The sequence below is a fragment of the Homo sapiens genome, chromosome 19, assembly GCF_000001405.40.
Source record: "Homo sapiens chromosome 19, GRCh38.p14 Primary Assembly".
NCBI classification, from domain to species: Eukaryota; Metazoa; Chordata; class Mammalia; order Primates; family Hominidae; genus Homo; species Homo sapiens.
The window spans coordinates 10,738,093-10,763,309 of NC_000019.10; the positions used below are offsets into that span (position 1 = coordinate 10,738,093).

Below are 25,217 nucleotides of genomic sequence, written 5' to 3' on the forward strand. Positions count from 1 at the left end.
TCACAACAGAAGGAAGTAGGCCGGACGTGGTGGCTCATGCTTGTAATCCCAGCACTTTGGAAGGCCGAGGTGGGCAGATCATCTGAGGCTGGGAGGTGGAGGTTGCAGTGAGCCAAGATCACGCCGCTGTACTCCAGCTTGGGTGAAAGAGCGAGACTCCATCTCAAAAAATAAATAAATAAATAAATAAATAAAAAGGAAGTGGAGACTTTCATTGAGATCAGTATCAAAGGGCACGAGGTGGCAGGGCATGGTGGCTCACGCCCATAGACCCAGCACTTTGGGAGGCTGAGGTGGGAGGATTGCTTGAGCCCAGGAGTTTGATACCAGCCTGGGCAATATAGTGAGACCTCATGTCAACAAAAACAGACAAAACAAAAAAAACAGGGGAGGGAGGGCTACAGGAGGGTGGGATGAGGACTGGCCACAGTTGGAGGCCAGGCCCTTCCTGGGGATCCCAGCGGTTGTTACTCTTTAAGAAGGACCTGGCCTGGTGTGGTGGCTCACGCCTGTGATCCCAGCACTTTGGGAGGTTGAGGCGGGTGGATCACTTGAGGTCAGGAGTTGAAGACCATCCTGGCCAACATGGCAAAACCCCATCTCTATGAAAAATACAAAAAAAAGTTAGTTAGCTGGGCGTGGTGGTGGGTGCCTGTAATCCCAGCTACTTGGGAGGCTAAGGCAGGAGAAGTGCCTGAACCCAGGAGGCAGAGGTTGCTGTGAGCTGAGATCGCACCGTTGCACTCCAGCCTGGGCAACAAGAGCAAAACTCCATCGCAAAAAAAAAAAAAAAAGGCTGGGCTCAGTGACTCACGCCTGTAATCCCAGCACTTTGGGAGGCCGAGGTGGGCGGATCACGAGGTCAGGAGATTGAGACCATCCTGGCTAACACGGTGAAACCCCGTCTCTACTAAAAATACAAAAGATTAGCGGGGCGTGGTAGCGGGCGCCTGTACTGTAGTCCCAGCTACTCAGGAGGCTGAGGCAGGAGAATGGCTTGAATCCTGGAGGAGGAGCTTGCAGTGAGCCGAGATCACGCCACTGCACTCCAGCCTGGGCGACAGAGCGAGACTCCGTCTCAAAAATAAATAAATAAATAAAAGAAGGACGTGTTCCCTTGTTCTTCTATGGGGACATGGGGAACTCCTGTACTGTTTTATTTTCCTGAAATATTTTTATTGAAATATAATTCACATACCATAATACCTAATCCTTTTGAAATATACTATTCAGTGGATTTTAGTATATTCACAGTTGTGTAACCAGCACCACTATCTGATTTTGTAGCACTTTCATTTCCCCTAAACCCATACATATGAAGCAGTTCCTCCCTCCCCCAGCACCTGGAAGCCACTAATGTCCTTTCTGTCTGTGAATTTGCCAATTTTGGATATTTCCTATAAATGGAATCTTACAGTATATGGCCTTTTGTGTGTGGCTTTGTTTATTTAGCATCATGTTTTCAAGATTCATCCATGCTGGTTGGGTGCAGTGGCGCACGCCTGTAATCCCAGCATTTGGGAGGCTGAGGCGGGCAGATCACTTGAGGGCAGGAATTGATGAGACCAGCCTGCCCAACATGGTGAAACCCCTTCTCTACTAAAAATACAAAAATTAGCTGGGTGTAGTGGCACATGCCTGTAATTCCAGCTACTCTGGGTGGCTGAGGCACGAGAATCTCTTGAACCTGGGGGGCAAGGTTGCAGTGAGCCGAGATCACTCCACTGCACTCTAGCCTGGGCAACAGAGCAAGACTCTCTCTCTCTCTCAAAAAAAAAAAAAAAAAAAAAAAAAAGAATTCACCAATGAAGCCACCTGGGCCTGGACTTTTCTTTGTGGGACGTTTTTTGAATACTAATTAAATTTCTTGTACATCTATTGAGTTTTTCTGTGTCTTCTTGAGTCAGTTTCAGTAATTTGGGTCTTTCTAGGAATTTGTCCATTTCATCTAGGGTGTATTTAATTTGTTAGAATAGTATTCCCTTATCATCTTTTTTATTTCTGAAAGGTTGGTAGTGATGTCTCCTCTTTATTTCTGATTTTTGTAATTTGAGTCTTATCTCTTTTTCTCTTGGTTAATCTAGCTAAAGGTTTGTCAGTTTGGTTGATCTATTCAAAGAGCAAATTGTGGTGGTGTTAACTTCTCTCTCCATTTTTTTAGTCTCTTTATTTCTTCTCTAATTATTTCCTTCTTTTCTCTTTGGATTTGGTTTACCCTCCTTTTCTGAGGTTCTTGAAGTGGAAGATTATTGAAATCTGAAAGTATTTGAAATCTTTCTCTTTTTTTTGTTTTTTTTTTTTGAGACGGAGTCTCGCTCTGTCGCCCAGGCTGGAGTGCAGTGGCACGATCTTGGCTCACTGCAAGCTCCGCCTCCCAGGTTCACGCCATCCTCGTGCCTCAGCCTCCTGAGTAGCTGGGACTACAGGCACCCACCACCATGCCTGGCTAATTTTTGTATTTTTGGTGGAGACGGGGTTTCACCATGTTGGTGAGGCTGGTCTCAAACTCCTGACCTCAGGTGATCCACCCACCTCGGCCTCTTAAAAGTGTGGGGATTACAGGCGTAAGCCACCGCGCCCGGCCAAAATCTTCCTTCTTTTTAAATACAGTTGCTTACATCTATGAATTTCCCTGTAAACCTGCTTTAGCTGCATCCATAAGTTTTGATATGTTGTGTTTTCATTTTCATTTATCTCAGCATATCTTCTCATTTCTCTTATGATTTCTTCTTTGATACATAGGTTATTTAGCAGTATGTTCATTTCTATATATTTGAGAATTTCTGAAAAACATCTTTCTTGTGTTCATTTCTAACTTCATTTCACTGTGGTTGGAGGAACTACTTTGTATGATTTCAATCTCTTTAAAATTATTGAGTCATGTTTTATGGCTTGGCCTCGAATACGGTGTGTCCTGGAGAATGTTCCATATGCACATGATAAGAATGTGTATTTTACTCTTGGGTGGAGTGTTCTGTACACATCTGTCAGGTCTTATTGGTTTCGTATTTTCTATTTCCTTGTTATCTTTTATTTGGTTGTTCCATCCATTATTATTATTTTTCTTGCCTGATACCAATGCTGATATCCATCCATGATTGAAAGTGGGGTATTGAAGTCTCCAACTTTCTTTCTTTCTTTTTTCTTTTCTTTTTGGAGACACGGTCTTGCTCTGTCTCCCAGGCTGGAAACGTGGTGGCATGATCATAGCTCACTGTAGCTTCTGTCTCCTGGGCTCACATGATCCTCCCACCTCTGCCTCCCGAGTAGCTGGGACCACAGGCGTGTGCCACACCCGACTAATTTTTGTATTTTTTCTAGAGGTAGGGTCTTGCTATATTGACCAGGCTGGCCTTGAACTCTTGGGCTCAAGTGATCCTCTCATCTTGGCCTCCCAAAGTGCTGAGATTACAGGCATGAGCCACTGTGCTCAGCCCCAAATTGGCCAATATTTCTTTCTTTTTTTTTTTTTTTTGAGACAGAGTCTTGCTCTGTCGCCCAGGCTGGAGTGCAGTGGCGCGATCTTGGCTCACTGCAAGCTCCGCCTCCCGGGTTCACGCCATTCTCCTGCCTCAGCCTCCCAAGTAGCTGGGAGTACAGGTGTCCGCCACCATGCCCGGCTAATTTTTTTTGTATTTTTAGTAGAGACGGGGTTTCACCGTGTTAGCCAGGATGGTCTCTATCTCCTGACCTTGTGATCCACCCGCCTCTGCCTCCCAAAGTGCTGGGATTACAGGCGTGAGCCACCACGCCTGGCCAATATTTCTTTTGTTCTGTGCTTTTTCCTTCCTCCCTCCCTTCCTCTTTACCTTCCTCTTTACCTTCCTCTTTCCCTCCCTCCCTTCTTTCCTTCCTTCCTTCCTTTTTGTTCTTGTTCTTTTCTTTTTCCTCTACCCTTCTTTCTTTTCCTTCTTTCTTTTTTTCTTTCTTTGTTTTTGCTTGATTGCAGCATCATGAGAGAGTCCTGTGCTTTTTTATAGCTGCAAGTATTCCTGGGTCGAGCCTACTCCCACTAACACTGATCACTCTCCCCCTTGAATTTTTAGGTTATTTCTAGTTTTTCCCCTCCTGCCAGAGACTTGGGGGTCCGCAGGCTTGTGTGTCTGCTATGCTCAGGGTGGATACCCTGCAAGGGAGTGCCATGTTGCATCAGAAGTGGATTTAGAGTGATGTTGCCAGGCCCACCAGGAAAGGCTGTGCCAAGGCTCTTTGCTGGGGTGCCAAGAAGAAGGGTCTGTGCCTGTTGTGGTGCCAGGCATTGACATCCTTCACTCCCACCCCCGTCACCCTCATGAACTAGTGAACTAGTCCTGTGGAATAGGGCCTTATGCGTGCTAGACCCTGGGTTTGTCCTGCTGACAACCCCATAGTGTAGGTGCTGTTATCCCAATTTCATAGAGAAACTGAGGGCTGGGGAAGTGGCAGCCTTCATTCAGTTCCTGCCGTGAGGCTGTGGCTGAGCTGCCAGGCTGCAGAGTCTTCACCCAATGATCTTGCTCAGTTGTCCCCATGAGGAAGCTGAGCCTGGCCTTCCTGTCTCTGGAGTCCAAGGTTTCCTTTCCTTGTGTGCCCCTGGAAGTGCTGTGTGGTGACCGGGATGGTGCCTGGCAGATGGAGATTAGACGCAGGTTGGATTGGTGCCTCATTGGTCAGGAGGGCTGCTCTTAGCTGTGTGCCAATAGACCGGATGACTTAATCTCTCTATCCTTGGTTTCCCCATCTGCAAAACAGGGTTGGCCAGAGCCCTGTGAAGGTGGAAGAAGGCCCTGTGTGCCTGGAGCTTTGTGCAGTGCCCTGGAGATGCTAGCTTGTTTTTCTTTCTTTTTTTTTTTTTTTTTTGAGACAGAGTCTCCCTCTGTCATGCAGGTTGTGGTGCAGTGGCTCAGTCTCCGCTGACTGCAGCCTCAACCTCCTGGGCTCAAGTGATCCTCCCACCTCAGCCTCTCAAGTAGCTGGGACCACAGGCGTGTGCCACCACGCCCGGCTAATTTTTTGTAGAGGCGAGGTTTCATCATGTTGCCCAGGCTGGTCTTGAACTCCTGAGCTCAGGTGTTCCGCCTGCCATGGCCTCCCAAAATACTAGGATTACAGGTGTGAGCCACCACGCCCGGCCGTGATGCCAGCTTCTTTTGCCGTGCAGCTAGCATTTGCTGAACACCTGCTGTGTGCCAGATAGTGTGCTGGAGGCAGGGCAGTGAACAAGACAGACGAGATCCCTGTCCTGTGGAGCTGATGCTCTAGCTGGGGGCCTGAGGGGTGGGAAGGAAGCACAGGTGCTCGGGTGAGAAAAAACATCATGCGGCCAGGCATGGTGGCTCACACCTGTAATCCCAGATCTTTGGGAGGCTGAGGCAGGCGGATCATCTGAGGTCATGAGTTCGAGACCAGCCTTGCAAAACCCCGTCTCTACTAAAAATACAAAAATTAGCCAGGTGTGGCTGGGTGTGGTGGCTCACACCTGTAATCCCAGCACTTTGGGAGGCGGAGGCAGGTGGATCACAAGGTCAGGAGATCGAGACCATCCTGGCTAATATGGTAAAACTCCGTCTCTACTAAAAATACAAAAAATTAGCCGGGTGTGGTGGCGGGTGCTTGTAGTCCCAGCTACTCAGGAGGCTGAGGCAGGAGGATGGCATGAACCCGGGAGGCGGAGCTTGCAGTGAGCCGAGATTGCGCCACTGCACTCCAGCCTGGGTGACAAAGCGAGACTCTGTCTCAAAAAAAAAAAAAAAAAAAAAAAAAAAATTAGCCGTGTGTGGTGGCGTGCGCCTGTAGTCCCAGCTACTTGGGAGGCTGAGGCAGCAGAATTGCTTGAACTCGGGAGGCAAGGTTGCAGTGAGCCAAGATCACGCCATTGCACTCCAGCCAGGGCAGCAGAGCGAGACTGTTTCCAGAAAAAAAAAAAAAATACAAAAATTAGCCAGACGTGGTAGCATACGCCCGTAGTCCCAGCTGCTTAGGAGGCTGAGGCAGGAAAATCACTTGAGCCCAGGAGGCGGAGGTTGCAATGAGCCAAGATCCTGCCACTACACTTCGGCTGGGGTGACAGAGCCAGACTCCATCTAAAAAAAAAAAAAATTCTTTAAAAATCAGGCACACAGTGTGATCTGACTTGCAGTTTTCCAAGCCTGTGGGGCAGGGAGCCTGGGGGAGGCTTTGCCCTGAGATGGGAGACTTGGCCTCAGGACATTAGAGCGAAACAGAGGAGGAGGGGATGGGTCTGGATATCCAAGGCAGGATCTGCCGAGAGATACGCTGTGGGGGTGGGACAAAGACCTCAAGAACGGGTCCGGGCTGTTCCTGTCACTTGTGACATTGTGGACTGAGTCTGCCTGGATATTTCCTTATGGGCTGGCTCCCCATCACCCCGGGAGAGTCTCGGGGTGGAGGGAACTAGAACGTGTTTGCCTGGAGGTCACTACCTACTCCCCTGGAAGGAAGGGGCTCCAGGAGGCTGGCTGTGGAATGCAGACTGTGGGTGGTGCCCGGCTGCCTGCCTCTAGTTCACTTGGGCCCTCAGGGTGGTACAGAGCTGGAAATCCATACATGGCTGACCACCCTGTAAGGGCTGCAGACACAGTGAGCGTTCACTTTGCCCTGGCAACTGGAACTGTCTCCTCCAGTCCTCACCACAACCGTTTTACAGAGCAGGACACCTGTTGCAAGATGGGAGAGACTTTGCTAACAAGGTCCCACAGCTGGCACTCACCAGGCTGGCTGGGGTACTCAGGCCACCCCTTGCAGTGGGGAGCAGTTAGGATGACACCGAGGACACCCCTAGGAGGGCGGAGTTGTGAGCTCCAGGACCCCACATTTGAGCAGTTTCCCCGTCACTCTTGAAAATGCTGCTGGGCCGGCCAGTTTCTTTGGGGTTTCTCAGTACTGCTGAAAGTTACAAGGTCAACACTGGCCTGCAATCACAGTTATAAAAAAGTTATAAAAGCCTGACATTCAAATCACGTTGGAGACTATAAAACAGCAAGTTTTTCATTTGCACACCTCACATGACCTCAAGCCTGCTGTCCATACACAGGAAATGGGGATGTGCGGAAAAAAAACCCGAAGTGGAGGACATCATCCCCCACGCATAATCCAGTCCGTGCATCGCACTTGACCTTCGGCACTGCAGCCTGCATTGCTCCCCGGACTAGCTCCCAAGATTGATTTAGCCAGTTCCCTGCCAGTGGACATTTAGGTCATTATCGGTTTTCATTCCACAAAGTACTGCCCTCAGGGAGTCGGCTGTCCTTGCCAAACCACTGCATTAATATGTTTCTGGGTGCTGGGGAAAGGGCGCTTAAGACCCCTGCCCTCAAGGTGTTGATATTCTAGTTGGGACTGTTAGATAAATGAGCAATTAGGCTGGGCACGCTTGAAATCCCAGGGCTTTGGGAGGCTGAGGTGGGAGGATCGCCTAGGCAGCATATCACTACAGAAAAACACAAATAAAAAAAGTTAGCTGGGCGTGGTGGCAAGTGCCTGTAGTCCGAGCTACTCAGGAGGCTGAGGGAGGAGGATCGCTTCAGCCCAGGAGTTTGAGGCTGCAGTCAGCTATGATTGCATCACTGCACTCCAGCCTGGATGACAGAGTGAGATCCTGTCTCTGAAAAAAGAGGTGCAAATAAACCAGAAAAGTACCAACTAGTGGGCAGTGCTGTGTTTAGAAGGAAAACAGGGCAACATGAAGGGGAGGTGGGCATCAGTAGGGGACAGACCTCTCTGAGGAGGTGACATCTGAGTTGAGTCCCTGGTAACCGGAGATAGCCAGGATTGTGGAAATACTTGGAGGAGATGAGATGGTCTTTCGAAGCAGGAGGCCAGCATGTGCAAAGGCCCTGCGACAGCAATGTCTGGCCTCCTTGCTGTTTCTTTTTATTTCATTTTTTGAGACGGAGTCTCACTCTGACCTATGCTGGAGTGCAGTGGCATGATCTTGGCTCACTGCAACCTCTGCCTCCCAGGTTCAAGCGATTCTCGTGCCTCAGCCTCCTGAGCAGCTAGGAGTACAGGCACACGCCACCACACCCCACTAATTTTTCTGTATTTTTAGTAGAGACAAGGTTTCACCATGTTGGCCAGGCTGCTCTCGAACTCTGGACCTCAGGTGATCCACCCACCTCGGCCTTCCAAAGTGCTGGCATTACAGGTGTGAGCTACCACGCCCGGCCTTTTTGCTGTTTCTTGACCACCAATGTGGCTGGAGGCAGGGAGTGAGGGGGTGGTGGGGGAGGAGGGCACGGAGGTGACAGGGCCATGGGGGGCACTTGGGAACTGTCAAACCGTCAAATGTTATGAGCAGAGGAGGGTCATGTTCTTACATTGTATCGAGTTTTCCTTTTTGTTTTTTTGAGATGGAGTTTCACTCTTATTGCCCAGGCAGGAGTGTAATGGTGTGATCTTGGCTGACTGTAACCTCTGCCTCCCAGGTTCAAGCGATTCTCCCACCTCAGCCTCCCGAGTAGCTGAGATTACAGGCATGCACCACACCTGGCTAATTTTGTATTTTTAGTAGAGACGGGGTTTCTCCCTGTTGGTCAGGCTGGTCTCGAACTCCCAACCTCAGGTGATCTACCTGCCTCGGTCTCCCAAAGTGCCGGGATTACAGGTGTGAGCAACCGTGCCGGCTTTTTTTTTGTTTTTTGTTTTTTTTTTTTTTGAGACAGTCTCACTCTGTTGCCCAGGCTGGAGTGCAATGGCATGATCTCACAATCTCAGCTCACTGTGACCTCTGCCTCCTGGGTTCAAGCGGTTTTCCTGCCTCAGCCTCTCGAGTAGCTGGGATTACAGGTGCCCACCACCACGCCTGGCTAATTTTTGTATTTTTAGTAGAGACGGAGTTTCTCCATGTTGGCCAAGCTGGTCTCAAACTCCTGACCTCGGGTGATCTGCCCGCCTCGGCCCCGCAAAGTGCTGAGATTACAGGCATGAGCCACCGCACTCAACCAATTTTTTTTTTTTTTTTAGTAGTAGAGACAGGGTCTCATCATGTTGCCCAGGCTGGTTTCAAACTCCTGGGCTCAAGAGATTGCGTGCCAAGGTGCTGGGATTATAGGCACGAACCACTGTGCTCAGCCTGAGTTTTACTTTGATTCGATGGGGCGAATGTTCTCTTTTGGGTATCATGGTAAGAGTTTCACAAACCCTTCCACCTCCTCTCTGAGGCAGGTGGCATCATTCCCACATAACAGATTGGGAAACTGAGGCACAAAGAGGTTACCTGACCTGCCCATCTTGTCCAGAAAGGAAATACTGGATTCCAGCCAGGGCCTGGAGAGTCCCAGAGCCACGATCACGAATTGCCACAGGTCACCTCCTGCTTTTGCTCCCAGCCTGTTGTGTCCCTTGGATGAGACCAGGGAGCAGGTGATGCCACGGCTTGAGTGCCAAGGGCGGGCCTCGAGCCGGGAGCTGCAGGATTCCTGATCAGGGAGGGGCTGCTGGGCTGGGAATGTTGGGGAGGAGTGAGGCCAGGAGTGGATTGTGGAAGTGAGAAGTCTCCTCATCTGTAAAATGGCAGATTTGGCCCATTGTTCTGCAAGCATTGGTCATCTGCCTCCTGCCTGGGTGTGTGTTGGGTACTGGGGAGAGAGCAGAGAAGGGGCCGATACGGGACCCTGCGCCCATGAGGCTGCCACTCTAATAGGATGTTGAGGTGGGGGCAGGGACAGACTGCAGCTGGGTGAACACATCAGGAACCCGGAAGATGCCAGTTGTGAGTGGCACTGAGCATTGAGCGGGTTGATGTGTGAAAGAAGGGGAGCAGCTTCCTATGGCGGGGGGAGGGAGGGTGCAGTTTGCTGGGAGCTGCCCGCCTGCTCTGTTAATGCTGCAGGAAGAAGGTTCCAGGCTGAGGGAACAGCCTGGGCAAAGGCCCTGGGGCAGGACAGTGTCTGGTGTGTTTCGGGAACATGGAGGAGGCATATGTGGCTGGAGTAAAGCCAGCAAGACAGAGAGTAGGGGGAGGTGAGGACAGGAAGGTGACAGGACAGGTCGTGCAGGGCTTGGGGGGCTGCAGGGAAAAGTCTGGCTTTTATTCCAAGTGAAGCGGGAGCCCAAGGAGGGCCCATAACAAAGGGGTTTACAGTGACATGGTGTGCACAGGCACCTTGTGGCTGCTTTGTGGGAGGCAGATTGTGGGGACCAAGGGCACGACTGCACTGGTGTAGGCAGGTGACAGTGGGACACGCTGACAGCCTTGGACGTGGAGGGAATTGAGCAGAATCAGGCCTGATGTGGAGGTGAAACCAGCAGGACTCGCGGCTGGACAAGGCGGGTGGGTGAGGGCCAGGGGAGCCCCAGGTCTGCAGCCTCGTGAGGGGTTTCTCCCCTCCCTGCCCTTTGGGGTGACCACAGGGATGCAGTGGCACCTACCTGCGGACACTGTGTGGGCCGAGCACTGTAAGGCTTGGGCGTCCTTGCTGGGTGACCAATGGCTATTGTTGGAAGGATGAGGCAGGGACCGAGGTGGGCAGAGGAGACTGGGCATGGGTCCCCACTTCTGCTCCAACAGAGCGACAGAGAAGCCCCTGAGGTGGGTGCGGGTGACTGCGGGTCTGCCTCATTGGTGTCCCACCCACATTCGTGTCCTGGCTCTGCTCCTCCCTCGCTGAGCGTCCTGGGCAAGTCCTGAGACTGAACCTCAGTCCACCTGTCTGAAATGGGACTTTTGGCCCTGGCATCCTTGTGACTTTCAACCCCTCTGGGGTTGTCAGAGGATTTGCCGCTATGTTGCCCGAGATGGGGTTAGAGACAGCCTGTTGGGTGGCCAGCGTTCCTTGTGTGGCTCTTATCAGAGTCCTGAGAGAAGAGGCCAGGGTGGAAATTGGCCCTGGAGTGTGGGCTCCTGCCGAAGCCTCTTCCTGTGGCCAGTGCCATGCTGAAGGCTGGCTGTGGTGTCACGTGAGCCCTCCCAGCCACATTCAGGCTCAAAGAGACTGTGCTGAGCATATGGTGACAAGGAAGGGATCCCAGCCCAGGGTCCTGGCCAGGCCCTGCCAGCACCAGGCTGCACAGGTGAGGGGTGGCTTGCCCTGGGGTGCTGGCTCTGGGCCACACTGCTGACTCACCCTCTGTGGGCTTATCTGTTGATTCTCCCTCCCATGGGAAGGCTCTGGGTTTGAGCCTGCATCGTTCCTGCACGTAGCCGTCCCCACCCTCATAGGGGCTGGAAGTCAAAAGGCGCCTGGTGGAGCCTTGTGGTCTGTTCAAAAAACGGTAAATAAACAGCCTGGGCTTCTGATCTGCTGGACTCAACCTGGCACCTCTCCCATCGCTGCTGGGTGCTGCCTCCCAGCTGCACCCTTCCCTGCCTGTCCCCTACCGCCTTCCTGGAGCGCTTATCCCCTTCCAGGGAGAGGTGGCCCACTTTAGAGCTCTGAAACCTGCTCTGGTGGGGTGAAGTGACTTGAGCCAGGCCAAGCCGGTGGCTGGGCCCTCTGTGGCAGACTGGAAGTGTCCTCCCATTTCATGGATGGCCAAGTCAGTGCCCAGAGAGGGGTAGAGACCTGTCCAGGGCCACACAGCCCAGGAGGGGCGGAGCTCGACTTTGAACCCAGGCTGCCTGGCTCCACAGTCTGGATTCTTCTTACCCATTCAACAAATACTTAATGAGCACACACTGTCTGGCAGGCACTGTTCTAGGTGCTGAGGATCTAGCAGTGACCAGGCCAGGTGCAGAAGTCTTGGCGTGTCACAGGACTAGACCTTCATCAGAGGCCGTTTTGCTGGGAGTGGGAAGGGGTGTGTATTTGGGAGGGAGGGGCGCAAGCCATCACACCTGCCCATGGCCAGGTAGGCAGGGCCTATGGGAGGGTTTCCTGGCAGAGGGAACACCCCCTGCAAAGGCCTGAAGGCCAGCAGTGCCAGAGAGAACTCAGAGGAGGCAGGTGCAGGGGGTGGGGCTGGGGAACCCGGTCAGCACTGGGACTAGGACTGGACAGGACGGGCTAGGACCAGTCACTTGGTTTCTGCAAGAGAGAAGCTTGGAGGCAGGATCTTCATTTTAGAAAGGTCACTGGGGAAGGTGGGAGGTTGGGCCAGGACCCTGGGGCCTGGCCTGGGCCCATGGATAGGAGGCCAGGTACTGAAATGATGCAATAGTACTAGGCTAGGTGCAGTGGCTCACACCTGTAATCCCGGTGCTTTGGGAGGCCGATGCGGGAAGATTGCATGAGGCCAGAAGTTTGAGACCAGCCTGGGCAACATAGCGAGACCCTGTCTCTGCAAAAAATAAAAAAATTAGCCGGGCATGGTGGTGTGTGCCTGCAGTCCCAGTTACTTGGGAGGCTGAGGTGGGAAGTTCACTAGGGTCCGGGAGTTCAAGGCTGCAGTGAGGTATGATTGTGCCACTGCACTCCAGACTGGGCAATATAGGAAGATGCCATCTCTAAAAAAAAAAAATTAGCCAAGCATGGTGACATATACCTGTAGTCATAGCTACTCAGGAGGCCGAGACTGAGGTTTGCCTGTACCCTGGAGTTTGAGGCTGCAGTAAGCTGTGATTGTGCTGCTGATGCAGCCTGGGCACAGAGTGAGATCCTGCCTCTAAAATAAATAAGGCCGGGCGCGGTGGCTCATGCCTGTAATCCCAGCACTTTGGGCTGCTGAGGCAGGTGGATCACCTGAGGCCAGGAGTTCGAGACCAGCCTGGCCAAAATGGCAAAACCCCATCTCTACTAAAAATACAAAGAAATTAGCCGGGTGTGGTGCTGGGCGCCTGTAATCCCAGCTACTTGGGGGGCTGAGGCAGGAGTAAGCTGAGATTGCGCCACTACACTCCAGCCTGGGTGACAAAGCAAGACTCCATCTCAAAAAAAAAAAAAGTTAATAAACTACTTAATTGTGCATCTCCTGTGTGCCAGCCCTACTCTATGCTTTGGGGATGGAATGTTGGAGGATCCCACCTTGGGGAGCTGTGTGTGAGCTCCCCACACAGCTCAGATGGGGGTATGGGGTCTGTATGTGAGCCAGAACAAAATGCAGCTAAGTGACATTTAGCATGTGTTAGTTCCACAGAGAAAAATGAGGCATGGGGGGTGGAGGTGGGAGAGGTGTGAATGGGGGTGAGAGAAGTCTCTGAGGAAATGTCATTCGAGCGGAATCACTCTGAGCTTGGCAAGGTTACCCTGTCTTACTGACGGGAAACCTAGACCAGAGAGGCCAGGAAGCCCGCCCAGGATCACACAGCACAGAGGTGGCCAAGCAGGGACTGGAATGCAGGGCAGCCTGGGTGCACAGAGGGCACTGTAGCAGCAGCAAAGGGAGAGGAGAGGAGTAGGTAGATTTCAGTACTCTCAGAATGCGGATGGGATCAACGAGGAGGAAGTAGATGACGGAGGCTGGAAAGTCACTTCCTGCTAAGTGGCCAGTGTCAGTGTTCCAGGCAGAGCTGCTTGGGAGGTGGTTTCTGGAAGGCTCCAAGTACTCCTGCTGCTGTGTCCCAGAAAACCCTTAGGGCCAGGCCCCTGCTCACCAAGCTCCTAGGAGACTTCTGGGGGGCTCATTTCGGAGGCAGTCCAGGCCGAGGGTGAATGTTGGTGCCCTTTGCATGCAGCAGTCTGGGAACTTTTAGAAGCAAAATCGGATAAGTCCCAGGGCTCCTGGCGCTCTCAGCCTGGCATGCGAGGCCCTCTGCGCCTGCCCTGCCCTGTCCTCAAACTCTCCCCTGAGAGCTGCGTCTCCGTCGCCCAGGCTGTGCCCTCCTGTGCCCGACTTAGAACTGTTCGGAATAACACTCAAAATTTTAAGGAAATTAAACACTCGAACAAAGGATTTTTAGCAAAGCAATTTTACTTCTGTACAGAGGGGTGCTTGTCCTTGGCCAGTCGCCATGAGAGCACACCTGAACAAAGGGACACGAGAGCCTTTATTCCTGATGCAAGTCCTGCTCCTGTACCCTCTCCCCATTGGCCGGGGTCGGGTCATACAATCTAAACCAATTTTGGTTGGCTAAACATTTGAATTTTTGTAGATAAGGTGGGCACGTAAAAGAGAGAGGAAAGGGGAAGGGATGTCTGTAGTGAACTAGAAAGTTAGTCTTCTTTGTAAATAAGGGAAGGAATGTGAGCTGGTACTGGTAACGCCTGGTACTGTGGCGTGCCTGGGCATCTAACAAAGCCAGAAAGGAAAAAGGAAAAAAGAGTGTGTATGTGTGTGTGGGGTACTATGAATTAAAAGATTGATCAGCCTGTTTGAAGAGAAACCTCATCATATTCCACACTACAAATACCCCAGGCCCAGAAAGTCACCTTCTCCTGCCTGTGCCCACAGCTCTGTGTTCTCTTGGGCGTCACTCCCGCCCTATGTTCTGAAGCTGTGATTGTCCGTTGTCTGAGCTGGGCGCTGGTGGCGTCTGGGGCATCACCATTGTCCTCACAGTGCCTGGCGCCTCAGACACAAAGTGGAGTCACAGGACAGCACAGGCCACAGGCAAACACCAGAGGTCCAAAGCCGGGCCCTGGCTGGGAGTTACTGGAGGGTCTGCCTAAGATGTGTTTGCTCAGAAGGCCAGGTGCCCTGGTGGTTAGACAGCTCAGGCCCTGTGCCTTCAGTCCATGTTCATGCCACCCCCAGATGCTGTGTGACCCTGGGCAGGCCCCCACCCTCTGGGCCTCATTTGCATCTGTAAAATGGAGCCAGCAGACCCATTTTAATGGATCCTGTCATGGTTAAATGGGTTAATAGGCAGGTGCAGTGGGGTCATTGCAGGGAGTTCAAGACCAGCCTGGACACCATAGTGAGACCTTGCCTCTACAAGAAACTTAAGGTGGCCTGGTGTGGTGGCTCACGCCTGTAATCCCAGCACTTTGGACTCCATTGCACTCCAGCCTGGGTGACACAGTGAGACTCTGTCTGTTAAAGAAACAAACAAACAAAAAAACCAAAAAACTTAAGGTGGTGGTGGGTACCTGTGATCCCAGCTACTTGGGAGGCTGAGACGGGAGGATCACTTGAGCCCTACAGTTGGAGGTTGTAGTGAGCTGTGACCTTACCACTGCACTCCAGCCAGGGCAGCAGAGTGAGACCCTGTCTCTATTTAAAAAGAAATCAAAAAGGTTAATAATCATGAAAAGTTCTCAATGCCTTGCTTGGCATAGAGTCAGTGTTGAATAGCTATTAGCTACTCTAATGTTTTGAACTCAGTAATGCGTGTGTATGATGCGGAATTCAAAGATGTCGGAAAACATGCAGTGGCTCCTTCCCCACCAGGCCCCAGCCGCCCCGGGTCCTGTTTTGTTTCCCTTTGGTTGTCTTAGTCACAAAGTACAGACTTTCTTCTGTACCTTTTCCTTCCCCTTCCCCCCTCCCCCTTCCCTTCCCCCCCCCACTTCCCTTTCCCCTTCCCCCTTCCCTTTCCCTTTTCCTTCTCTTCTTCCTTTCCTTTTCTTTCTTCAGTAAAACTGATCACTACAAACCTTTTCTTTTTTTCTCACTTAGTACACCAAAAAGGGAGTTACATGTCTAGAAAGGACAGGCTCTTTTTGTGTGTCTGTTGCTGCATAGCAGCATGGATAGGCCATAATTTATATATAAATACACGTATTTTATTCTATTTTAAAGGTTTTTGTTTTGTTTTTTTCCCCCGAGACGGAGTTTCGCTCTTTGTTGTGCAAGCTGGTGCAATGGCGCGATCTCAGCTCATTCCAACCTCTGCCTCCTGGGTTCAAGCGATTCTCCTGTCTCAGCCTCCTGAGTAGCTGGCATTAAAGGCACCCACCACCACGCCTGGCTAATTTTTGTAATTTTAGTAGAGATGGGGTTGCACCATGTTGGCCAAGCAGGTCTCGAACTCCTGACCTCAAACGATCCACCCACCTCGGCCTCTGAAAGTGTTTGGATTACAGGCGTGAGCCATTATGCCCAGCAATATATCTTATATATAAGGTGATTGAAAATATATGTTTTCAAAAAGAAAACATATTTTCAGTCAGCTTCCTTAGGTTGAACGTAATTTATATTTAACTAGTCCCCTGTTGCTGGGCTTTAAAATTCTTTGAGATCTGAATTTTTCGTCTTATTGAGAAACTAACAGGGTTGTAACAATTCTGTGGGCAAATTTTAATGGAATGTCCACCCTGTACTTTTGTATCTGAATCTTCACGAACATGTTCTCCTTGACTTGTGACCTTTTCCTGAGATTTCAGTTAGATATAGTTAATCGCTTAAGTCTTTTTTTTTTTTTTTGAGACGGAGTCTCACTCTGTTGCCAGGCTGGAGTGCAGTGGCGCTATCTCAGCTCACTGCAGCCTCCGCCTCCCAGGTTCAAGCGATTCTGCCTCAGCCTCCTGAGTAGCTGGGACTACAGGCACCCTCCACCTCGCCTGGCTAATTTTTTGTATTTTAGTAGAGACGGGGTTTTACCGTGTTGGCCAGGATGGTCTTGATCTGCTGACCTCATAATCTGCCCGCCTCAGCCTCCCAAAGTGCTGGGATTATAGGCGTGACCCACTACAACTGGCCAATCGCATAAATCTTAAACATATACCTTGATTTTCTTGTCTTCTTCTTCTTCTTTTTTGGAGACAGTCTCCCTCTGTTGCCCAGGCTGGAGTGCAACGGCGCAATCATGGCTCACTGCAGCCTCAGTCTCCTGGGCTCAAGTAATCCTCCTGCCACAGCCTCCCGAGTAGCTGACACTACAGGGGAATGCCACCATCCGCAGTGAATTACTTTTTACTTTTTGTAGAGACAGGGGCTCGTTATGTTGCCCAGGCTGGTCTCGAACTCCTGACTTCAAGTGATCCACCCACCTTGGCCTCCCAAAGTGCTGGGATTACAGGTGTGAGCCACTGCTGCAAGTTTTGATTTTCTAATAAATGATTGTACCTTGGTACCTACTGGCTAGATCAAGATGCAGGACTTCTTCATGGTCTCAGAAAGTCCCTCCTGCCCCTTCTAGTCCATTTCCCGAAAGGGAACCACTGCCCTGATTTCTATCTCCAGAGACTAGCTTTGCCGGTTCAAGTTCAAGTCCACCCTGTGACTCAGCAAGAGAAACAAGGACATGTGTCTACAAAAAGCGCATATGAGAATGTTCAGAACAGCTTTATTTGTAATAAATTCAAGCTAGGAAGACCCCAAATGTCCATCCAATGGTGACTAGACGAACAGACTGTAGTCCATCAGTGCAATGGACAGATTCGACCACGAAAAGGAATGAACGTCAGACACACGAAGCAGACAGGATGTCTGTGATTGCATCACATGCTGCTCCTGTGTTGTTTTATCGTTGACATCTTCCACTTGCACACTTCAAAAATAGTCATTGAAAGGATGGAGCAGGGGCACTGTTGTGAGGGGCACGTGCTGTCACCGCCGCTGCTGGTGATTCAGTGTCTAGCCAGCGCCGCATGGTTTCTGAGATGCTGCATTTGTCTTTTTTTTTTTTTTGAGACAGAGTCGTTCTGTCACCCAGGCTGGAGTGCAGTGGCGCGATCTCAGCTCACTGCAACCTCTGCCTTCCAAGTTCAAGCGGTTCTCCTGCCTCAGCCTCCCAAGTGGTTGCGATTACAGGTGTCCACCACCACACCCGGCCAGGGTTTTTTTTTGTCTTTTTTTTTTTGTATTTTGTATTGTTTTTGTTTTTGTTTTGAGATGGAGTCTCACTCTGTCACCCAGGCTGGAGTGCAGTGATGCGATCTCGGCTCACTACAATCTCCGCCTCCCGGGTTCAAGCCATTCTCGTGTCTTAGCCTCCCGAGTGGCTGGGATTACATGCTTGCGCCCCCACACCCGGTTAATTTTTGTATCTTAAGTAAAGGCGGGGTTTCACCATGTTGGCCAGGCTGGTCTCAAACTCCTGACCTCAGGTGACCCACCCACCTTGGCTTCCCAAAGTGCTGGGATTATAGGCGTGAGCCACTGTGCCTGACCTGAGACACTGCGTCTCTGATGTGCAAGATGCCAAGTGTCCCTGCCCCTCAGGTCCCTACCTGTGAGCTAGGTGGCCTGGGGCTCTGGTAGGGCCAGGGCCAAGGCTACTTGTGGCGTTCATGAGGTTAATACCCTGGGACAGCCTGGTGTCCACTGTGACTACTGTGACGGAAAGACAAGGGGCCATGCTAAGAGGTGACTTTGGGGTCTGTCACCTGCATGGGGGCGCCCGCTCGCTGTTTCCCTCGTTCAGTTCACTCCGCCTCCCAATTGATGTAGCTTGTTCCCTCAGTCCCCCTGCTCAGAGAACCCTCTCCAATTATCCCAGCCCCCAACCCCTCTCACCCCTGCAGTATGTCTTCCTCGCACCCACCCCCGTCAGAATGTTGGCGCCAGTGTCACCAGCACCTCCCCAAGTGCTCAGGAGCCAGTGAGAAAGGTTCGCTCCTTTTCATGCAAGCCATGAGCTGTGATGTTGTCCAAGTCTCGTATCCTGTTTGTGCCTCAGGCTCCTCATCAGCCGAATGGGAGGCTGACGGAAAGGGATTAGAGCTCAGGCATCAGCTTGAACTGGGGCACGTGGCGTGACAGGCCTAGTGCCTGGCAGGCAGGTCCCTCGGGCTCTTTGTCATCCTCAGGAGTGTGGCTCGAAGACAGGTAGCATCCCAGGCCTGGAGAGCTGACTGTGCTGCCTGTGGCTGCAGAGACAGGATGCAGAGGCCAGGGCTCGTCCCCCAGAGCCTTGCAAGTGTCTGTAGGGCGCTCCCCTCTGTCTTGCCTCCTCCCACTCTCTGGCTCTTCTCTATCCGGCCTGCCCTCAGGTTGTGACCATCCACCTCCCAAACTGCCCTGGAATCTGCCTACGGCCTGTCCACTGGCCTCCGTACCCCTGCCTGCCATCTCTCTGGTTTCGCCCCTGATGTCACTCACATGAACCACAGCGGTCACCCCCACCTGCCTCCTGCTCCTGCCCTCTCCTCTGCCCTGCATCAGCCAGAGGGGGGTTTAAAAGCTTACATTTGTTAATAATCTGGCTAAAGCTTAACATTTATTGTAATCCATCCCTAAATCCCAGCTGGTGGCATTGCTCTAACAGTGATGACCAGCCTCCTCATCATAATCCCCAGCACTGCCACCCTCAACCCCCCAGCGCTGACCACTGGAGGCTGCTTCTAAAACTTCAGCCCTGCTCTGCCAGCAGCGCCCCTGGGGGGTCTTCGTAGCCCTGTTGCCCATCACGATCCCTTTTCTCATGCAGTCCAGGCTGCAAGCCCCCGCCGAGGGCTTGGGCTGACTTGTTGTGTAGTCAGTGCTGTGTCTCTGCACCCAGCCAGAAGTGGTGGGACAGCCCCCCGGCTGACGGGCTAGAACCCATCATCCAGGGTGTGTGGAAAGAGCACATCTCCCCCCCGACGCCAGCCACTGGGTAATACATTCCCAGGAATTTCCAGTGCCCAGCCCCAGCTGAGAAACAGGTCTTCTGGAACCCTCCAGCACCCTCATCAGGGGTTCCCAGCATGGGTAGGGCCACCTGCCAGCTGGGAATGATTGTAGTGCTAGTGACACTCACTCAGGGACCCAGGATGCTGTCTCGTTCTGTACAGGGCACAGCTGTACAGTACCAATTGCCCTGTGTCCTGTACAAATTTTCAACGATCCAAACATCTAGGTGCAAAACCTGTTTGAAATTCTCTGTGTTGGCCAGGCACGGTGGCTCACACCTGTAAACCCAGCACTTTGGGAGGCCAAGGCGGGCAGATCACCTGAGGTTGAGTTCGAGACCACTCTGGCCAACATAGTGAAACCCTGTCTCTACTAAAAATACAAAAAAATTAGCCAGGCATGGTAGCGCGTGCATGTAATCCCAGCTACTCAGGAGGCTGAGGCAGGAGAATCGCTTGAACCCGAGGCAGAGGTTGCAGTGAGTTGAGATCGAGCCACTGCACTCCAGCCTGGGCAACAAGAGCGAAGCTCTGTCTCAAAAAAAAAAAAAAAAAAAAAAGAAAAAGAAATTCCCTGTGCCTAGAACCTTTCACCATTTTGTATGAAACAACAGAATTTCCTTTCGAGCCTTTAATGTACCCCGAGCCCACTGTTTCTACTTCAGTCCTCACTGGAAAGCTTTCATTTTCCTTTCTGAGTGTACAGGGTGACTTCCTGTCTTCCTCCTTGCTGGAATCCTGGTGTATTCACTGTAAGTCGGAGCAGGCTACTCCCTCTATCTTCTGGGGTGGTTGTGCCTGAGTCTTTTCCATTGTGAAAGACATGGAATTGATTCCTTTCTTCCTTCCCTCCTTCCTTCCCTCCTTCCTTCCCTCCCTCCTTCCTTCCCTCCCTCCTTCCCTCCCTCCTTCCTTCCCTCCCTCCTTCCTTCCCTCCTTCCTTCCCTCCCTCCTTCCTTCCCTCCCTCCTTCCCTCCCTCCTTCCTTCCCTCCTTCCTTCCCTCCTTCCTTCCCTCCCTCCTTCCCTCCCTCCCTCCTTCCTTCCCTCCCTCCTTCCTTCCCTCCCTCCTTCCTTCCCTCCCTCCTTCCTTCCTTCCTCCCTTTCCTCCCTTTCCTCCCTTCCCTCCCCTCCCTCCCTTCCCTCCCTTCCCTTCTTTCCTTGATGGAGTCTTGCTCTGTCGCCCAGGCTGGAGTGCAGTGGCACGATCTCAGCTCACTGCAACCTCCGCCTCCTGGGTTCAAGCGATTCTCCTGCCTCAGCCTCCTGAGTAGCTGGGATTACAGGCGTGTGCCACCACACTTGGATAATTTTTGTATTTTTAGTAGAGACGGGGTTTCGCCATGTTGGCCAGGCTGGTCTCAAACTCCTGACCTCAAGTGATCCGCCCACCTCGGCCTCCCCAAAGTGCTGAGGTTACAGGCCTGTGCCACTGCACCCGGCCAGGATATGTACTTTTCTTAAACAGCTCTGTCGAATAGTAATTTACATTCCGCGAAATCGATCCATTTCAGAATTAGTGGTCTTTAGTCATTTTACAGTCCTTTTTTTTTTCCCACACAGAGTCTCGCTCTATTGCCTAAGCTGGAGTGCAGTAGTGCAGTCATGGCTCTGTACAACCTCAGCCTCCCGGGCTCATGCCATCCTCCTCTCTCAGCCTCTCTAGTAGCTGGGATCACAGGCGTGGGCCACCACGCCCAGCTAATTTTAGTTTAGTTTAGTTTAGTTTAGTTTTTGTAGAGATGGGGTCTTACTATCTTGTCCAGGCTTTTACAGTTAATTTTAGTAAACATCACCATAGTCCAGATGTAGAACATTTTCATCACCCCAGAAAGCTCCTTCCCCTCCATTGGCAGTCACCCCCGTTCCCACATCCAGGTATCCACTGATCTGCCTTCTGCTTCTGTAGATGTGACTTTTCTGGACATGAAACACATCCTATTTTGTCATCAATAACTTTCCTCGTATTTTACCCATATACATGTGGCATTGTGTTGATTTAAAACACATAGGAAATGTGTTGATCTCCTGGGTATGGGGGAAATTTAACAAATACATGCCAGGGAATGGGCCCCCTGGGAGTACGGGGGGTGGGGCACAGCCTGCCAGAGGGAAATGGTTCTGGTCACTATGACCTTCCATGCATACCTTCCTGAGCTCTTCAGGCCTCAGGACCCTCCAAGACCAGAGCATTCCCCAGGGCCCAGCTGGGGTTGGTGCCTTTGCTGAGGTCGCCCAAATTGCAAGACAGAGTTGCTCCACCACATGTGGTCACACTTCCTGCCCCTCGATCCGGACGCAAGAGTAATTTCTGTCCCTCTCCCCCCCTCACAGGGACTTCCTTCCCCGCGGTTCAGGAATCGTCACCCGGCGGCCTCTCATTCTGCAGCTCATCTTCTCAAAAACAGGTAAAATGGGGCGGCCTGAGGTTCAGCAGGAAGTGGATGTGGATGTGTGGTTGCCAGGAGTTGCTGGGGGCGGAGGGTGGAACTTGGGTCCTGGGCTGTCATTGGACATTGAATTCACGTGTTCCACATGTGTGAGGAAATTGAAAAACGGCTCAGTGAACACTTACACACCCACACTGCAAGCCCTCAGCTGTGACCAGAATGCCAGGTGCCATGTGTGCTTTCTTTTTTCTTTTTTTTGAGACAGAGTCTCACTCTGTCACCCAGGCTGGAGTACAGTGATGCTATCTTGGCTCACTGCAACCTCCACCTCCCAGGTTCCAGCGATTCTCCTGCCTCAGCCTCCCAAGTAGCTGGGATTACAGGTGTGACCCTCCATGGCCAGCTTTTTTTTTTTTTTTGTATTTTTAGTAGAGACAGGGTTTCACCCTGTTGGCCAGGCTGGTCTTGAACTCCTGACCTCAAGTGACCCTCTCACTTCGGCCTCCCTAAGTGCTGGGATTACGGGCATGAGCCACCACACCGGCCCCATGTGTGCTTTTCATGTGTTATAGATAACCCGATTTTGCTGAACGCTTTCAAAGTCAGTAGCAGACGTGGTGACACATCCATCCTTCACGCCCCAGTGCACCTCCCCATGCAATAAAGACGCCTGTCTACAAAGTCCCAGCACCATGCCCCAGAGAACGAGTCATTCCCGCATGTCATCCACGTCCCAGTTTCTACTCAGCATGTCGCCAGTTGTCCCCCAGATATCTGGCTGGTTTTATAGCTGCTCTGCTCAATCCAATGCTATACTCTTTTGTAATCTCTTCTTCTCTTTTCATTAAAGCAGCCTCCCCATAATCACTTTTTTTATTTTTTTTAAGAGACAGGGTCTCACTCTGTTCCCCAGGCCGTGCAGTGGTGTAGTCATAGCTCACTGCGGCCTCGACCTCCTGGGCCCAAGCAATCCTCTCCAATCAGCCTCTCGGGTAGCTAGGATTACAGGTGCACACACCACCACACCCAGCTGATTTTTTTTTTTTTTTTTGGTAGAGATGGGGGTTATGTTACCCAGGCAGGTCTTGAAGTCCTGGCCTCAAGCAATCCTCCTGCGTCAGCTTCCCACAGTGCTGGGATTATAGGCATGAACCATCACACCAGCCCTCTACCATTGCTTTTTATTTTTTATTTTATTTATTTATTTATTTTTTGAGACAAAGTCTTGCTCTGTCGCCAGGCTGGAATGCAGTGGCGTGATCTCGGCTCACTGCAACATCCGCCTCCTGGGTTCAAGCGATTCTCCTTCCTCAGCCTCCTGAGTTGCTGGGACTACAGGTGTGTGTCACCATGTCTGGCTAATTTTTGTATTTTTAGTAGAGATGGGATTTCACCATGTTGGCCAGGCTGGTCTTGATCTCTTGACCTCGTGATCCGCCCACTTCGGCCTCCCAAAGTGTTGGGATTACAGGCGTGAGCCACCGCGCCCGGCCACCATTGCTTTTTAATCAGACTTTGACTCTTAGGGAGACCCAGCCTGTTGAATATAGTATGGCCTATGTGTGGATTTTTTCCTGTTCTTTCCTTCCCTGATCTCAGTGTATTTCTATTCTTCCCACCCGAGGCTGACATGAGGTGGGCGTATATCCCAGCTGGAAACCCCCTCGGGCCTCCTTGGGAAGGATCTTGGGTCAGAAGCTAGACCCGGGAGAGGTAAGGGTCTCCGTGCCCCTTCCCTGCTAATCTGCAACATCAGCTCTGGGCGTTCAACACTCAGTTTGTGTTAATGTCTTCTTGCGGCCCTTTTAAATACTCTCACACTGGGAAGGCAGCTGACACACACACCCCCATTCTACAGATGGGGAAACTGAGGCTTAGCCATGCTGCCTGCCTTTCCAATGGGCCCCAGATCTGGGACCTGCATCCAGGCAGATCTGACCTCAACGCCAGCTCTCAGCTTGGCCTCCCAAGACTCCTCACTTTCGTCCTCTGGCCCCGCCCAACCTGGCAAGAAGGCGTGTCTCCAGTGAGAGACAGCAGCCGATGGGCCCACCACCTCTTCTTTATGAGCTCTGCTATTTCGTACGCCACCGATGGGCCAATGGGCTGCCACCTCTGGGTTCAGGCGTCCAATCAGCTGTGCCAGGAATGGGCAGCCCCAAAGTCCTGAGAGTCACTATAGAAATCAGTGTTGGTAGTTTTCTGTTTCTCATTGAGCAGGATGGGGACAGATGTGCAAACTGCATTTTTATTTTATTTTATTTTGAGACGGAGTCTCACTCTGCCACCCAAGCTGGAGTACAGTGGCGGGTGATCTTGGCTCACTGCCACCTCCGCCTTCCAAGTTCAAGCAATTCTCATGCCTCAGCCTCCTGAGCATCTACAGGCATGAGCTACCACGCCCGGCTAATTTTTTGTGTTTTTAGTAGAGACAGAGCTTCACCATGTTGGCCAGGCTGGTCTGGAACTCCTGAGCTCAAATGATCTGCCCGCCTCTGCCTCCCAAAGTGCTGGGATTACAGGCGTGAGCCACTGGGCCCGGCCACAAACTGCATTTTTAATGAGTCCCTGGTGATGCTGCCAGTCTCTGGCCACACCACTGGGAGAGCCTGCCCTGCTTGGTTTAGGCTTGGAGCGGAGACTGCCCAGGTTCCCAACCCAGCTCCTAGGGAGGGACCACCACTGTGTTTCCTGTCTGGACAGTGATGACAATAACACCACCTTGTTAGCCTTAAAGCACACGTTATTTACTACATGTCAGGGAGGAGGGGAGAGAAGCAGGCAGAGAGCCTTGGCCAGGAGGGAGCACAGAGCGCAGGCCTACCCAGTACCTGACCCGGATGAACGATGATGGGTTCCTGATGTCTGTCCCCACCTTACAGAGGAGGGAGCCAAGGCTTCCTGACCACTTGCCTTAGGGCACATGGGAACATTGTCTTTAAAGCCCACCCTTAAGCCACCTCTTGGGGGAATGTGGCCTTAGGCCAAGGTGTGACTTGACCAGATCCTGTGGCTGTTGGTGGAAAAGGGACCACAGGGGCCAGTGCTGAGGCCAGTGCCCTGGAGGAGGCAGGAGTAGGTGCTGGAAGGGGTGGGGGCAGGTGGGGGATGGGTGTGGCAGCTGTGGTGGAGGTGGATGCATAGTTGCATCCTGTTGGGCTGGTTGAAAAGGGAGTTCCAGAAGTGTCCCACATGGGTGGGGCCTTTTCCTGCCTCCCAGCTTGCACCCCTCAGCCCCGCCTGATCATGGCATTTTCAGTCTCTGTCTCCTTTTTTGTTTTGTTTTGTTTTGTTTTGTTTGAGACAAGGTTCTGCTCTGTGGCCCAGGCTAGGGTGCAGTGGCACGATCTCGGCTCACTGCAACCTCCACCTCCCAGGTTCAAGCAATTCTTCTGCCTCAGCCTCCCAAATAGCTGGGACTATAGGCGCACACCACCTAGCCTGGCTAATTTTTGTATTTTTAGTAGAGACGGGGTTTTACCATATTGGCCAGGCTGGTCTTGAACTCCTGGCCTC

At 51.8% G+C, this 25,217-nt stretch overlaps 1 protein-coding gene and 1 long non-coding RNA gene across 6 annotated transcripts in view, besides 5 other annotated features; one reads left to right on the plus strand and one right to left on the minus strand.

Moving 5' to 3' along the window:
• The window catches only part of DNM2 (dynamin 2), a 113,825-nt gene that overhangs the window by 20,014 nt on the left and 68,594 nt on the right, over positions 1 to 25,217 (plus strand). For all 5 annotated transcript variants that reach the window (NM_001005360.3, NM_001190716.2, NM_004945.4 and 2 more), the window contains exon 2: positions 21,646 to 21,719. In NM_001005360.3, the coding sequence (NP_001005360.1) occupies positions 21,646 to 21,719 (74 nt within the window). The remainder of the gene's footprint in view (positions 1 to 21,645; positions 21,720 to 25,217) is intronic.
• Positions 849 to 918: a silencer, noted in NCBI's record as "silent region_10091". NCBI's record gives its function as "represses an Ori minimal core promoter by ATAC-STARR-seq in GM12878 lymphoblastoid cells {active_cell/tissue: GM12878}" and the evidence as "EXISTENCE:reporter gene assay evidence [ECO:0000049][PMID:35858748]".
• Positions 10,509 to 11,323: an enhancer, noted in NCBI's record as "H3K4me1 hESC enhancer chr19:10859277-10860091 (GRCh37/hg19 assembly coordinates)". NCBI's record gives its function as "activates a minimal SCP1, AML or CMV promoter by ChIP-STARR-seq in naive H9 embryonic stem cells {active_cell/tissue: H9 hESC(naive)}" and the evidence as "EXISTENCE:reporter gene assay evidence [ECO:0000049][PMID:30033119]".
• Positions 12,459 to 13,080: an enhancer, noted in NCBI's record as "H3K27ac hESC enhancer chr19:10861227-10861848 (GRCh37/hg19 assembly coordinates)". NCBI's record gives its function as "activates a minimal SCP1, AML or CMV promoter by ChIP-STARR-seq in primed H9 embryonic stem cells {active_cell/tissue: H9 hESC(primed)}" and the evidence as "EXISTENCE:reporter gene assay evidence [ECO:0000049][PMID:30033119]".
• Positions 17,025 to 21,718, minus strand: LOC124904637 (uncharacterized). Its single transcript, XR_007067139.1, has 2 exons — positions 21,460 to 21,718; positions 17,025 to 18,569 (listed from the first exon to the last, which is right to left on the minus strand). It is a non-coding gene; the product is annotated as an uncharacterized LOC124904637 (long non-coding RNA).
• Positions 21,984 to 22,043: an enhancer, noted in NCBI's record as "active region_13991". NCBI's record gives its function as "activates an Ori minimal core promoter by ATAC-STARR-seq in GM12878 lymphoblastoid cells {active_cell/tissue: GM12878}" and the evidence as "EXISTENCE:reporter gene assay evidence [ECO:0000049][PMID:35858748]".
• Positions 22,314 to 22,363: an enhancer, noted in NCBI's record as "active region_13992". NCBI's record gives its function as "activates an Ori minimal core promoter by ATAC-STARR-seq in GM12878 lymphoblastoid cells {active_cell/tissue: GM12878}" and the evidence as "EXISTENCE:reporter gene assay evidence [ECO:0000049][PMID:35858748]".